The following is a 14,906-nucleotide window of genomic DNA, read 5'->3' as shown; positions in this document are numbered from 1 at the left end:
CCGAGTCACCACCAGGACGGTGCAGATGGCTTCCCACTAAATTTCAGAGCAGAGGCCAACCCCCTCTACTCAGGGGACATGGCCATCCCCCAGTCTCAGTCCCCAGCCCTGGCGCAGGAAGGGAACACCCACTTTCTTCTGCAGTCCCTGGTTCAATTTCTCTAATGAAAACACATTAAGCCGTGAATCACTTTCGCGGCATTCCCAGCCTGATGTCATTGTAATGTCCTGTCAGAGCCACTCCGCGCTCTACCTCTTGATTTAATATGATTGAAAACATCCCTCCCTTTTGGAAGGGAGCTCCAGGGTGCCTAGGGGCTTTCATCATCACAGGCCCGGACACGTCCAGCGCGCATGCGATACTTGACTCACGGAGAAGCAGTAGCGTAAAGATGACTCATTTGGGTCGGACAGAAACCTCCAGAACACAAGAAGGCTTTCTGAATCCCATCGCGGAATCTCTGGCTACTCTCCTCCCCCAGAGCTTGGAAATCAGCCCTGGTTGTCTGGGGGCTTGCCTCCCAATGCCCCATCCCCAGGACAGCAGGTCTAGCTCCTGCTCTGAGGTCAAGGCCCACGAAGCTTCCCCAGACAGCTCTGGGAGGCGGCCCAGAACCTGGGGTGGTCCCGGGATAGTGTAGAGGAGAGTACCCAGCGGAGGCTCCTCTCATGAGCCAAAATCGCCTCCTCCCTGCCCCAGCACACCAAGGGCCACACTTACAGGGAGGAGCACTCCCTGCAACTCACCCGCTGGCCTCACCGGGAGCCCCAGGACGCCCCAGACGGAAGGGACCATGACAGCGGTCTGGCCCAGTCCACTCCAAGGCATTTTCCTTAAGCTGATAATGCCTGGGACCCCAGGAAGGGTTGTGAACCTTCACGAAGGGTTCCACGGTCAAGCCCTTGGGCAAAGCAGTGAGCTAAGTAAGCAAAGCCAAACTCTCTAACTGACCTCCTTTCCACAGAACATCTTGGGAACCGGTGGATCGGTACTTTGCAGGCCATACGTGACAAAGCACTAATCTTAACCCAAACCTGAATGATGCCAGTGTGAGACCCCAAAATGGAGTGGCCTGATTCAAGTCACAGTGAGCTGGCCTCTGATCAGGACTCAGAGTCTAGGCCTCAGGGAACCTGAGATCTCTGCTCAGGAACGAGGTCCCAACAACCCTGCAGCTGTAGGAGCAGGGACACATTAGAACACTGGGGACACGCTGGAATATTGGGGACATGTTAGAATACTGGGGACACATGAGAACACTGGGGACACGTTGGAATACTGGGGACACGTTAGAATACTGGGGACACATGAGAACACTGGGGACACGTTAGAACACTGAGGACATGTCAGAACACTGAGGATATACTAGAAAACTAGGGCAAAATCAGTAACTCCTGTGACCTGTAATTTCAGGGACTACTTCCTGGGCAATCTATGAATGGCTGTGCATGGCGGGGTGTTGGGGGAGGAAAGGGAAGGGAGGTGAAGGTGGCTGTGCCCTGTGGGGAGGGACATGGGGCACACCTTGCGCCTGGCAGGTGCCACCCTGCATCTACGCAGCATCACAGCCCAGCGGCACATCAGGCCTCCGTGAACCACGTGGCCCCTCCTTGCAGAAGATGGTAAAAACGGCATCCTGTGGTACCACAGACCATTTAGACACATCACCAGTTCTCATCTAAGGGTGATTTTGCCCCTCAGGGGACATTTGGCAATATCTGGAGACATATTTGGTTGTCACTATTCAGGTTTGCTACTGGCATTTAGTGACAGAAGCCAGGGATGCTTCAACACATCCTGCAGTGTAGACAGACTCCACCACAAAAGACCAGAGGGCCGAGGCTGGGAAACCTGATGGCACGGGCACCACTTGCTCCTCCCAGTCCCAGTAAGGGAGGAACGATGGTCTCATCTCCAAGAGGAAAGAGGCTTGCAGGCCATGCAGCTCTCCATGGCTGACCTACAGCTGCTCCCAAAACAGCATGGCGTGGGGGTGACATGAGACGGCTTTGGTGCTTGGCACTGCAACCCGCCAGCTGCGTAAGCAAAACTAACCCGTGTAACCAACCTATGCTTCAGTTTTCCCACCTGTACACCTGCCACCGAGTGGCAGGGGTGTGCGGGAGACTAGACGGTGCATATTTTAAGCCTGGTTCTTTGTGACTGCTCACGGGAGCACCCAGCACTCCTCCACTCCCATCCCCTTTCCCCAGGAGCTCTGGAGCACGGAGTCTGCAGCAACTTTGGGGCACGGGGGATGTTGCTCGACAGCCTTCGCAGGTGCTTGGAGGAGACTGAAGGATAGCAACGGCGCTGGCGTTCTGGTTGCCTGGGCAACGTGCCCGCGAGCATTCTGGAGGAGTGAAGTGGTGACAAGCAGTGTGTGGGCAGGACGGTGGGTGGCAGTGTTCTCAGTCCCTGGGAGGGGAAACCTGGCTCTGTGTCTTAGCTGAGCCTCTGCTGCTGGGCCCCGCTCCCCTGTCCCTCCTGCAGGACAATTCCACAGGAAGACAGAGGGGAGGCCAGTCCAGACCAGCTGCCCCACGAAGGGCCCCACAGGTCCCCTTGGTTCAGCCTGCTCCTCCATCACATCTGTGCTCTCTGGGCAGCACTCAGGATGTGAGCAGTGCAGCCTCGGCTGCTGGGCAGCCTAGCCAAGTACCCCAGGCCACCTCCTGTGCTTCCCCTGCGTGTGCGGACAAAGTTCCCAGACTGGGCCCCCAGCACGAGCTACCCCATCCCAGCGCCAAGCCCTAGCTCCTCTCCATCTCCCCCTGAGCAAAGGGACAGACTGGCAAAAGACGCGAATGGGGCAGGATCAGAACTCACTGGCTGGGAACCTCATCCCCTGGGGGTCAGCTCAAAGGGAAGTGGCTCAGAAGAGCTCTGGGAGGGCAAGGTCTATTGTGCAAAGCCAAGGAGAGGTTCTCAGCCTGGGCCTCACATGAGGATCCTCTGGGGTGGGGGAGGAGGGAGTTCAGAAAATGCTGAGGCCCAGGCCTCAGGCAGATCCACTCATGGGCGCCTGTGGGGGCGAGGCCCAGCATCGGTATGTTGTGGAAGACCCCAGGGTACATCCCGGGTTAAGAGCTGAGGAGTGTCCCCAGGGCCTCCCTCAAACCTGGTTTGATCCTACTTTATGGCCATTTCAACCCGAGATACAGCATGTGGGTGGTGGGCAAGAAGGGTGCCACAGGCTGGCCCGGTGATGAGGGCTCTTCAACAGCAAAGAAGGAGGTGTATCAGGAGCACACAGCTGCCCTGGCACCACGTGACATGGCCCCTTCCGGAGCTCGGGGCCTCAGCCAGAGCTGCCAGGCCAGGAAGACGCTCAGGGGAGAGCTCTACGCAATCGTGCAAAGACACAAGCACCATCACACAGATGCATATTTAACTAGAGAAAACCAAACTGAAGAGGACGGCACGCAGAGAGAAAAAGACGGCGTAGGATACTAAAATAATACCCCACAGGGATTCAGCCACAGCTACATACCAGGCAGTGAGCTAAGCATCTCACAGGAATTGTCTCATGCCGTTCTCACAGTAACCCTAGGGGAAGAGTTGGCATTGACTCTCCTCTTGCAGAAGAAGGAAAAACACAGAAATAGTAGCTGTGTCTTTCTCTGGAATGAAGTCTCTTAAAAATACAACTCAAAGAAGGTGGGGCTCAGGGAGGGAAGTTTTCGGCTGCAGGGAGATGTTGGTTCTAGGAAGGATGTGTCCCTCCAAAGGCTTCAGATTTTCAAGACAGCTCCATCATCTCTCCTACATTGGGAAAATGCATTCCTCACAGAGAGCATTCCACAGATCACCCACACTGTTTCCCGGTGACAGCGCTATAGCTCATTCTTGATGGTCTTGTCCCTGAAAAGGGAACTGAGAGGAATAAATGTCAGGTTATCGCCAGCTTCCAAAACACTCACTGCAGCCCCTCTGTCTTCATAGGAAATATCTATTTTGGTTTCGTTGCAATTGTTATGTTGGTATTTACGAAACTCGGTATGCATGCCAGGCGCTTTTGAAGCCAACCAAGGATGGGAGGAGAACAGCAAAGGCTCTGCCTCTGGAAACAAGTACGTGGCTGTTCCGTGGGTTTCTAGAATTTGAAGAGAGGAAAAGAATGGCATTGGTGGAGGTGGGCAGGGTGCAGCGTGGGGCCAGGAGAGCAAGATGGTCAAGAAGCAGCTTGGGGTCAGGTGGGTTTGGGCAGAGCATCAGCTTCCCAGCGGGCCCACTCACCACGCACCCTGGGGCGAGCCCCTTCACCTCACTGGGCCCCAGGGTGGGTGTGACAATGACCAGATGCTACCCTTGTTAGGAGTGAGAAGGAGGTTCTGGACTCTGGCGACAGGAGGCCACGCCCCCAGGGCAGCAGTGTGCCCTGTGATGGAGGGGGTACACAGCTGCAGGTGCACCGGGGAACCAGGAGCAAGGCAGAGGCCAGGACCTAGGACCCCTTAGCTGCCTGCAACCCTGCCCAAGCCACTCCCCGCTGGACCATCCTTAGTACAAGCTGCAGCCAAGGGCTTCCATTCCAGGGGCACCACTGAGAGGGGCTCAGTGTGGCTAAGGCACCTTGAGTTCTGGCACATCGGAGGGCACACAGTGAGGAGGACAGAATCAGGAGTTTCAGAACTCAGAGCCATGGCCAGGGGTGGGCCTTATAAAAGAACTGAAATTACAGAAGGAGCTAGAGCAGCTCAGAGTTTCCTGGGAGGCACCCACATGTGTGACGGTCACACCGAGGAAGGATGACCACTCCTCAGGTGGCCAGGGGAGGAGGCCCTGTGGTTGACTGAGGGTGGGAGAGGGCCAATGACCTTGAAGGTTCTTCTGAGTCTGTGATCACTGGATTTCGGCGGGAGGGGGAAGGCCGGCCTGGCCTCACACAGCTGAAGGTAGGTACAACAGCCCACCTAAGGTGATGTGGAGACCTCAGAAGTCCTCAAACAGCCTTCTCCATATCCTGCTGTGAACATCACCATCCCCAGTCCTTTATATCTGAATGTAAATGACGCCTTTGCAGGGGACCAAGGTCTGTGAGATGAAGACTCATTTGGTGGCCTCCAGGGAGCATGTGGCTCCTGAGAATAAGCACAGCCCTAGAGGCTCTCAGGGGACAGCGGCGTGGGGGCAACATGTCCTCCGGCCTCAGGCCCCTTAGCGGCCCATCTAGTATTCCACATTCATGGTGACGAGCAAAGAACATAGTGACGGGGAAACACGCTGGCACGGCCAGAGGTGAGATCATCCGTGTAAATCACTCAACGGAGGCCGTGGTTCTGTCTCATCTTCAGCTATAGAAAGTTCCCATTTTCTCATCAGGAGAGGAAATGAAAAGAAGCGAGGCTCTGCTGCCTCACAGGAGATGCCGCGATGACTGCACAGCTTAATCTCCTGCCGGCTGCCCGCCACCACCCCACGCTGGTGCAGAGTGAAGCTGGCTGGAGGAAAAGAGCACAGAACGCGGACTTAGCGGTCCCCTTGGCTCTTGCTTCTCCTCCGGCCACTGGAACGCTGCCCTGAGGACAGGCCCAGGACCAGGCAGGTCCAGATCCAGCCCATTAGTGGCCGCTGCATCTTGGCCCTGCCTTTGCTGAGGTGGCTGTGCCACGGCTCAGCTCCTGTCCAGGTCGTCCTGGGACCATCTTGTTAGACGTGTGCACACCCTCAGGGACAGACACGCTACTCTCCCCATGTTACCCATGAGGGGCTGGCGTTTTGGAGATGGTGGCGCACCTGCCCAAGGTCACTAGCTAGTAGGTGCCACCACATGGACCTGGCACCAGCCTGTGGGACTCACGTGCCCACCTTGAAACTGCACAGAGGAAGGGGAGCAAGTCCAGCCATGGTCACTCAGAAGTAGAAGAGGACTGGGAAGAGTTGTCCTGAGGTGATGTCACTATAGTACCAGCCACCATCAGCATTTTCCCAGCCTCTGTTTGAACACAAACCATGACAGGGAACTCATTACCTACAGTAACCACTGAAAAATGCTGGCCAGGGCCTCTGTTGGAAAAGCATTCCTTGTGCGAAGCCACAAATGGCTTCCTTTGATTTCTCCTCCACTCCCATTGCCAGCCCTGTGCTGTGGGCACCCAGGACGAATCTAATCCTGTGCCACACTCACATATACAGGTCACATGTGCATAATGCACACACACAGACACACAAATGCAGGCATGCACAGAACACAGGTGCACACATACAGCCACATACAAACTAATACAGTCAGGCATGCACACACAGAATACAGCCACACATCTGTACATGCAACCTGAGTGATACATGCATATACAGAAAACACAGGCACATAGACACACATGCACAAACTAACATACACACACAAACACAGGTGCACACACACACACCATGTGTGCGTAGAGAAAGCATGCACACATACACACATGCACATGTGCACATACAGAGACACACATACACACAGAACATGCAGAGACACACACGCACACAGAACATGCATGCATGTACACAGTCATATGCACACATGGAACACAGGTGCATACACACAAACACATCTTGTGTGCATACAGAGAAAACATGCACACATATACACATGCACATGTGCACATGCAGAGACACACATGCACACAGAATATGCCTGAATGCACACACAGTCATATGCACACACAGAACGCAGGTGCGTGCACACACAAACACACCATGCAGGCACAGCCAGTACACAGATGCACATGCACACACAACAATCACTGGCTGCGGTTTCCAAGTCCTTGCAAGGTTCCCTCTGCAGCCTGGCTGTGAAATCCCACCGCCTTGGCCACCCCCCGGGCATAAGCCGTCTCCCTGGGTTCCCAAGTGGAGTGTCTAGAGCAGATGCAGCCCGGCATACAGCTGCCCTGGCGGCTGCCCGTCAGCATGGGGATGAAGCACTGTAGGTTGGGTAATTCCTTCCCAAAGGGACACAGCATAGCCAGGGCAGCCAGGCAGCCCAGGGACAGGGCTCCCCTAGGGCTGGAACTTCCAACTCCCCCTAATGAGATCATCGCATCCGGAAGCTGTTCCTGAGAAGGTGTCAGGAGGACACTTGTCCTGACACCTGTTAAAATGTCTGGCATGTGTCGCAGCCTTTCCAGCAAGCCCTGGTGCTTCTGAGCAGTGGCTGTGACTTGAAGGGGGAAAAAACAGTTTCCTGGGAAAGCCTACATTTCTGAATGACCAGGAGCCAGCACTGCCTGGGCCAGGGAGCCTCCCTGCTCCCCCCCTCAACCCAAAACCCCTGCGTCTCAAGTTCTGGTTGGCTTTTTATAGGAGCCATTCCCTGACCACCTGCTGGCTGCTTCCAAGGAGAGATGGGTTTCAGACACACACAATTCTCCACTCAGGACAGGGTTTACTGTGATTATCTAGAAAGTTCTCCCCCCAGACACAAATGGCCATGGAGGTATTGATGAACCCCCCAGTACGAGAGAACTGAGAATGGGTGCAGCAATGTCATCCCACAGGATCACGCTCCTGTCTCCCTGAGGCTCTGTTAGGGGCCGACTTGGGTCTCCTCAAGTTCATATGTGGAAGCTCTAGACCTTGGTGTGACTGCATTCGGAGAAAGGGTCTTTACAGAGGTAATTAAGTGAATACGAGGGTATTAGGGTGGGCCCTAATCCAATAGGGACTTAAAAGAAGAGATGAGAACAGACACACAGAGCCAAGACCATGTGAAGATACAGGGGAAAGGCAGCATCTACAGGCCCAGGAGCGGCCTCAGCAGGAACCAGCCCTGCAGACACCTTGATTCTGGACTTCCACCTTCGAAACTACGAGGAAACACATTTCTCTTCTTTAAACCACTCAGTCTGTGGTACTTTCTCACAGCAGCCAGGCCAGCCTGAATCTGCACCTGTTCCCACTCTCCATCTCCACTCTCCCCTGGAGCCTCATGGCTCGAGGTACTGTGTTTGCAGGGAACACTCACAAGCACGGGCCCACCTTGGTCTCACCTTGCCTGGCCAGCCGTTGGCCTCCTGACCCTCATGGGCAGCTCACAGTGGAAACTCAGCATGGGCCCCGCAAAACCTTTGACCACTTCTACACAGTGTGCTCACCAAGGTGCCCAAATGCCACCACCACTCACCACGGAGTGCAGCAGGAAGCCTCCAGCCATCGCAGCCCACCCTTTCCTCATGGTCCCAAAATACTTGCTCATAGGCCCTGCCCATCCTCCCTCCTGCAGGAGCTCTCTCTCAGTCCCTACATGGCCACTCCCTGTAGGGAGGGTAGCATCCCTGCCTCCATCCACACAATGCCCACAGCACCCTCTCCCAAGTTGTGACAACCAAAAATGTTCCAGACATGGCCACAGGTCCCCTGGCGGCCAAAGTACCCCCAGTGTAGAGCCTTGGGTCCGTCCACTCCTCTCCCCACCACCTTCTCAAGCCATGGTCCCATCTGACTCCTGGCCTTCTCCGACCCTCCTCCAGCTTCCATCCTGGCTCCCCATAATCCAGTGTCCGTCCACTCAGCTGCCAAAGCAATACTGAGGCTAACCTGACCATGACCTCCCTTCCTGCACAGCCTCCTCTGTTCGCTTCCACTGTGCTCACAACCTAAAGCTCCCAGGGCTGCCCCTACCCATGCTCGGCTCCCCGGGTACCTGCTGGCTGTAGGTCCCACCCCCAGCTGCGCACCTGCTCTCTGCAGCCACATGGGGCACCAGCACTTCTCATCCTTCACCCCAGCTGAGCATTATCTCCTTACCTCCACCTGCCCACCAAGGGGAGACCCCTCGCGTGACCCACGAGCTCATCTCCTTGTCAGTCTGGTCATTTAGTTTCTGAGAGTTTACAGTTTGTAATGTTCCATCTGCTGTGGGCCTGGACCACTCGGGAGTTTATGCTCCAGGAGAACAAGGACGGTGTCTGTCCCCCTGACCAGGGCGTCCCAAGGAGCAGAACAGGCCCAGGGAAGAGGAGTCTCCCAAAGATGTTTGTTGAGAGACTGAATGAATGAATGGTGAGGTGACATGGCCACGCCAAGCCTCACTTTCCTTCATGTGTCAGAGAGAAAATAATACTTGCTGTGCAGGGCTCAGGAGCTGAGAGCCAGGCTTCATAAGCACCCACTCTGCTCAATTACAAGACCACCACTGTGGGGTGGGGGGCTGGGATTATGACGACATCTGATCGTTTAGGGGCCATCCCCCCCCGGCAAAGGAGCTGAGGGCATGAAGTGGGTGCAGACTGGCACCCGTGCCCCTGGGCTGAGCTGGTCGTAATGGACTACGGGAGGCTCACCCCGCCCCTCCCAGCTTTACGGGGCCCAGTGGCCACCAGGAGCAGCCCTGGGGGTGTGCTGGGCAGGTGCAGGGGCAGCCCCAACACGGGTCTACCCTCCTTTGCTCACCCTACCCCACCTGCCTTGTGAATGAGGCCTCACTTTTCCCGGCACTGCAGTGGGCTGGAGTGTCCCCAGAAGCTTCTGTGGAAATGTAATCCCTGTGCCACAGCACTGAGGTGGGACCTGTAAGAGGTGAGGGGGCCCTGAAGGCTCTGCCCCCTTGAATGGCTGAATGCCATTATCTCCCCCAAGTGGGTTCCTGATAAAAGGACGCGTTTGGCCCCTTCCTCCCCTCCATGTGCTCTCTTGCCCTCCTGCTTCCACCACGGGATTACACAGCAAGAAGCCCCAGCGAGACGTGGGCCCCTTGACCTTGGGTGCCCCAGCCTCCAGAACTGTGAGAAATAAATCTCTGCTTTTTATAAAATGCCCAGTCTCACATATATTGTTAGAGCCGCATAAAACAGGCTAAGACAGGCACTAATCAAGTCTGACATGAGCTGGCAACTCTTCCTCCCCTCCCGCTCCCAGTCCCCTGATGCCCAAAACACAGGCTGTCAGCCCCACGTGGGGAGGAAGGGCCATTCTGCAGCCAGCTGGGTTTGGGCTCTGGTGCCTCCAAGGAAGGCTTGGACGCTCAGTCTTAGCCCAGAAGCCCTACCTGCTCCTGCTTAGGCCTCCTCCAATCCCTCCCCCCGCCCCCTGCCTCCAGGAAGCCCTCCATGACTCCCAGTCCCCCATGGGGTTCTTCCCTCCGAAGCCGAGAGTCCCTCTCCATCAGCACATGCCCCTGACGTCCCCTGACCACGGGCTGCTTCTCCCCTCAGTTGAGTGGCCTGGTGTCTAAAGTTCCCATGGGCGCCTCCCCACTCGGGTGGGCCTTTGAATCCTGGGCAGCATGGGGCCTTCATGGGGGCTTCTCCAAGGTTTCCTCGGTTTCTCCCCATAAACTGGGAGAAAATCCAGCCCTGTCAACCTCCCTGGGCCATGGTGAGGGAAGGGTGGCTTCCAGGAAACTGTAAAGCACAGCTGAGGTGGGCATTTATGAAGCTCAATTCTTATTTAGTATTAATTACACTGTAATAGAAATATTAACTGCTTATTTTTATACAATTATTTGATAGCCACCTAATAAAGCAGCTGCAATGAGCACTGGGTTCCAGAATGGGGCACACCTCGTCCCTTCCCTGTCCAGTTCCAGCACAGAGCACAGGGCTGAGCTTGGAAAAATGTGCACTTAATGCCTGTTCGTGGGCCAACAGACAGAGGAACCCAGATGGGGAGTTCACAGTCCACTGAGGGAACAGGCATTTCAGCTGACAAGACCTGGAGGGAGGACAGCAGAGTGCCAGGGTGGCTTCATCTCTGCTTGGCTGAGCCTGGAAGGCTGCTTGGAGGAAGTGATGGGTCTCCAATGCCAAGTAGGAGTTGACCCGGGACAGGAGGCAGGGAGAGAAGGAATGATGAGGCTTGATTTGTGGGGTCCACTAGGGAAGGCCCCGCCATGGTCAGGAGGCCTGCGGAGGCCAGGCTGGGGCTGAGCTATTTTTCTCTTTTCCCAGGAAGTTCCTCCCGGATGCCTGGGGTGGGGAATTTGGGGGCAGGTGCTTCCTTGGGACCCAGCCAGCAAAGCAATTACAAGTCCTCGTAATGATGAGTCCCACGGAGGCTATATCCCTCTGCTGCACCCTCAGACGTGCCCCCCAGCCTCTCCTGCAGGCTGAGAGGCCAGAAGGGAAAGGGCTGCATGAGGGGCCCAGAGACGGAGAGAGGAGAGCAGCCCAGGGCGCGGGGTGAGGAGCCCGAGAAGCCCTGACAACCCTGTCCTGGTGGCGGGAGGCAGCGGCGGGAGGCAGCAGCAGGAGCCTGCCTGGCACAGTGAGTGCCTCTGTGCCTAAGTTTCCTCACCTATTAAGCGGGGCTGACTCCTAACCCTCGAGAAGGCGGCAACGATGCAGAGATAATAGATCCACGCAGGGCCGGCCGGGCGCCATGCCACCTGCCATTCCCGGAAGGAGCACAGGGCTGAGGGCCTCGGCCAGTCTCAGGGACACCCGGCCTGGGGCAAAGGCTGTTCTTGGCTCCCTCCAACCCCGTCCCCACCCCACGTCTGACCTACACCCTCTTCTGAGCCCTGGAGACCCTTGTCCCTCTGCAGGTCCCTGACACTCCTGAGTCAGGAATAGGAGAAAACTGATTTTCCCGCAGGCTCAGGAGGGGAAGAGGCAGGGCTCCCTGCCAGGCGGTCCTGGGTCTGCAGGTCATGGGCCCCCTCTGAGCGCTTGTCCCCCACACACGTTTTCACCACCGACCTCAAAGACCTTGCCTTGTGCCTTTCTCTCTGCCACTTGCGCCTGCCCTACTCCTCCCTTCAGGTCCTGGCCCTCCTTCCTAAGCCCCCCTGACTCCTGGAGTCAGCGGGTGGGTCGCTTTTGCCATCCGATGGCAAGCACCAGTGTCTGCCCGGGTGTTCCCCGAGCCCGGAGTTAGCTCCGACTCTCCTCCAGCACCAGGGCTTTTGGTCAAGAGGCACACAGGACCTGGAGGCCCAAGCTCCTCTCTGGAGCCACTCCCGGGCCTAGCACAATTCCCGAGCCCCACTGTGTACCCAGCCCAAAGGGCCAGCAGGCGGCAGAGATACCTGTCACCTAAAGCACTGGCCCTGCTGACGACAGAAGCACAGGGCACCTCGTCCACAGCCTCCACAGACTCTGTGGCCTGGAGAGGACAAAGGGAGGCGGTCAGTGTGCCCGGCCTGACCCTGGCTGCCCAGCTCCAGCCAACCTGGGAGAAGGTGGCCTGGTCCCAGGAAGGCCAGGAGGGAGGGAGGAGCACCCGAGGGTGGCTGGACACCCCAGCCCCAGATGCTCTTTCCCAAACAGGAATGGAGTCTGTTCCGGGAGCCTGATGGGGACTCTGGGCTCCTGGCTTCTGGTCCCAGCTTAGTCACGACCATAAGCACAGTGAGCTCACGGCCATGAGTCACCTACAGTGCATCAGCCTGTGTTTCTGACCCTGGATTTGGAATCTCGCTCAGTGGCCCTCCTCACCCCAGGCCTCAGCCTGGCACCCCTGGCTTCAGGCTTATCCAGTCCACACAGTGACCAGGCAGACATGGCCTGCCCTTCTGTGAGGCTGAGTCCAGCACAGGGGATAGGAGTCAGACCCAGGCCAATGACCCAGTGCGCACTTGACCCCCAAGGTCCCTGCTCCCTGGATAAGAAGTCAGGTGGACTCAGGCATAGACGCCCCTTGCTCAGGCACCAGCGGCCGAGTGGAGGCTTCCCTCCTGGCAGAAATGGTCCCAGGACCTGAGTGTGGAGAGAACTCAGGGAAGTTCTCTCTCTGTGGACCGTGTGGCCTGGGACAGCTGTTTATGCTTTGTGTCCCCATCTGTAAAATGGACACTAAGATGCCTGTCTCCGGGATTGGTGGAGAGGATCAGATGAAATAAGGTCTGTCTGGATCCAGGACTCAGGCACAGTGACACCCAATAAAAGTGGGGGACACCGTGTTTCTCCCAGACAGGGGCAGTGCTCTGCAACCACCAGCCAAGAGGCGCAGAAAGCAGCCGCGACGTCCCCTCTCCCGTACTGCAGCCACCTCCACGCGCCCCTGGTGACAGCTCCTGGTTGTGGCTCCATGACGAAGAGAGGGCGTAGCTGTGGGGGCTGCCAGTGGCCATTCCACGGGCTCCCATCCTTGAAACAAGAGGTCACACAAGTAGCTGAAAGTGGGGAAGGGCTGGACTTTGCAGACCCAGCTCAGCATCTGGGACCTCTTGGTGGTGGGAGGGTGGGCAGCAGCCCTGCCTCAGGAACAGGCCCTGGTGACAGTGAAGGAGCGGACTGACTTCAGAGGCCACAAACCTCCTGGAGGGTCTGGATGGGCGCATCCCCTCCTCGGGCCTCCTGGGGGTTTAGGGACATTTCCTGGCCCTGGGCACTGGTGTCGCCCCATGCTCCACACTACCCCTCCAGGGCAGGCACTGAGTCTTGTCTTTGTCAGCGAGTGGGAAATGCATCCATCGTTGGCCAGGTGTGCACCAAGTTCTACAGGGCCAGGAGGGAGCGGGGCTGGGGGGGTCTCAACCGGGGGCAGTGATGAAATGTGGATGCTGCCCCAGGCCAGGGAGCCTGGCTGAGGGACAGTCACCCCTTTTCTCGTTGGAAGGAAAGCAAGAGAACCAGCCTCTCCCCTGACCTGCCCCTCCAGGCTCTCATCCCCTCTGCTGCTGGGCATCCGCGAGAGGGGGCGGCCTTGGCGGGGCTGTTTCCCAGCTGCCAGGATTTCTCTGCCTCTCCTGAATTTTTCCAAGGCTCAGCTGTGCTGGGAGCTTTACAGCTTGAAAGCGGGTTCACGCTCGTGCTCATGCCGGATGCTCATGACTCCTGGGAGCAACAGTCAACCCCGAAAGCTGTGTTTCAAGGCGGAGGAAACGGATCCTCCAAATCCAGTATCCTGTCATGGTGCTTCTCACCCACGGAGCTGAAACCAAGACCAGGCCATCCAGGCACCCCCATCCTGCACCTTGTCTGGCCTTCACCTGCCACCACTTCCAGCCAGGGCCCCAGGGGCCATCGGCTCAGAGGCTTCTGGCCCCTCTGCCCTGTGCATGATCCTGCCAGGAACGCCCCCCGCCTCCGCCTTCCTGGGCCTTGCGTTCCTGGCCCTCCGCCTCCTCGTGGGTGGGCTGCGCGAGGCTCCACTCTCCTTGCCAATAAATCAGAAAATAGGTATTTTAGGTGCAACAAATTGCTTGTTTAGTTGTTAATCGGGCAACCCTTTGGCAAGGGAAAAACAATTTAACCGCCTTAATCAGCTGAATTCATACCAGGCGCGTCGTTCTGATTTATCGGTAATTGTCTCTGAAACCTCTTTTGGGGCGAGGACGTCGGTGTGTTTCTCTCTCTCCCTATACTCTGTCAGGGACCGTTCTGGACACCCATTCCCTCTACATGACCTCAGGAACTGAAGACCGAAGCCGCAGGCTACGGTCCCCAAAGAACCCTCACCCCCTACAGGCGAGTGAGGGGGGCAGGCGGGGTCTCAGACTCTTGGCCTGAGCACGTATGTGAGAGGCTTTCTTCCCACTGGTGGGTACTGGAGGGGCACCCGCTGTGAGTGAGCAGGGCAGGGTGGCTCACCAGATGCCTCCCTGCCTCAGTTTCTCCACCTGTAGAAGGGAGATAATGGGCTCAGCGTCCTCCTGTGAACTTCCTGAGTTAATACAGTTCGAGTATGGGGTCATCGCCATGGCAAGGAAAACAAGAAGGGCATCACGATCCTTTCTTTTTTTTTTTTTTTTTTTTTTGAGACGGAGTCTCACTCTGTCACCTAGGCTGGAGTGCAGTGGCACGATCTCAGCTCACGGCAACCTCTGCCTCCCGGGTTCAAGCAATTCTCCTGTCTCAACCTCCTGAGTAGCTGGGATTGCAGGTGCACGCCACCACGCTCGGCTAATATTTTTATTTTAGTAGAGATGGGGTTTCACCATATTGGCCAGGCTGGTCTCGAACTCCTGACCTTAGGTGATCCGCCTGCCTCGGCCTCCCAAAGTGCCAGGATTACAGGTGTGAGCCACCGCACCTGGCCC

General features: G+C 56.8%; 1 protein-coding gene across 3 annotated transcripts in view, besides 5 other annotated features; it reads right to left on the bottom strand.

Annotated features, from left to right (window-relative positions):
* The window catches only part of AJAP1 (adherens junctions associated protein 1), a 137,926-nt gene that overhangs the window by 89,139 nt on the left and 33,881 nt on the right, over positions 1–14,906 (bottom strand). The window lies entirely within an intron of this gene.
* Positions 37–951: an enhancer, noted in NCBI's record as "H3K27ac-H3K4me1 hESC enhancer chr1:4762505-4763419 (GRCh37/hg19 assembly coordinates)". NCBI's record gives its function as "activates a minimal SCP1, AML or CMV promoter by ChIP-STARR-seq in primed H9 embryonic stem cells {active_cell/tissue: H9 hESC(primed)}" and the evidence as "EXISTENCE:reporter gene assay evidence [ECO:0000049][PMID:30033119]".
* Positions 952–1,868: an enhancer, noted in NCBI's record as "H3K27ac-H3K4me1 hESC enhancer chr1:4761588-4762504 (GRCh37/hg19 assembly coordinates)". NCBI's record gives its function as "activates a minimal SCP1, AML or CMV promoter by ChIP-STARR-seq in primed H9 embryonic stem cells {active_cell/tissue: H9 hESC(primed)}" and the evidence as "EXISTENCE:reporter gene assay evidence [ECO:0000049][PMID:30033119]".
* Positions 8,781–9,281: an enhancer, noted in NCBI's record as "H3K4me1 hESC enhancer chr1:4754175-4754675 (GRCh37/hg19 assembly coordinates)". NCBI's record gives its function as "activates a minimal SCP1, AML or CMV promoter by ChIP-STARR-seq in naive H9 embryonic stem cells {active_cell/tissue: H9 hESC(naive)}" and the evidence as "EXISTENCE:reporter gene assay evidence [ECO:0000049][PMID:30033119]".
* Positions 9,282–9,782: an enhancer, noted in NCBI's record as "H3K4me1 hESC enhancer chr1:4753674-4754174 (GRCh37/hg19 assembly coordinates)". NCBI's record gives its function as "activates a minimal SCP1, AML or CMV promoter by ChIP-STARR-seq in naive H9 embryonic stem cells {active_cell/tissue: H9 hESC(naive)}" and the evidence as "EXISTENCE:reporter gene assay evidence [ECO:0000049][PMID:30033119]".
* Positions 11,721–12,672: an enhancer, noted in NCBI's record as "H3K4me1 hESC enhancer chr1:4750784-4751735 (GRCh37/hg19 assembly coordinates)". NCBI's record gives its function as "activates a minimal SCP1, AML or CMV promoter by ChIP-STARR-seq in primed H9 embryonic stem cells {active_cell/tissue: H9 hESC(primed)}" and the evidence as "EXISTENCE:reporter gene assay evidence [ECO:0000049][PMID:30033119]".

This window comes from Homo sapiens, chromosome 1, assembly GCF_000001405.40.
Source record: "Homo sapiens chromosome 1, GRCh38.p14 Primary Assembly".
Taxonomy (NCBI): Eukaryota; Metazoa; Chordata; class Mammalia; order Primates; family Hominidae; genus Homo; species Homo sapiens.
Note: the sequence above shows the minus strand (reverse complement) of the source record. Positions and strands in the feature narration are given on the sequence as shown.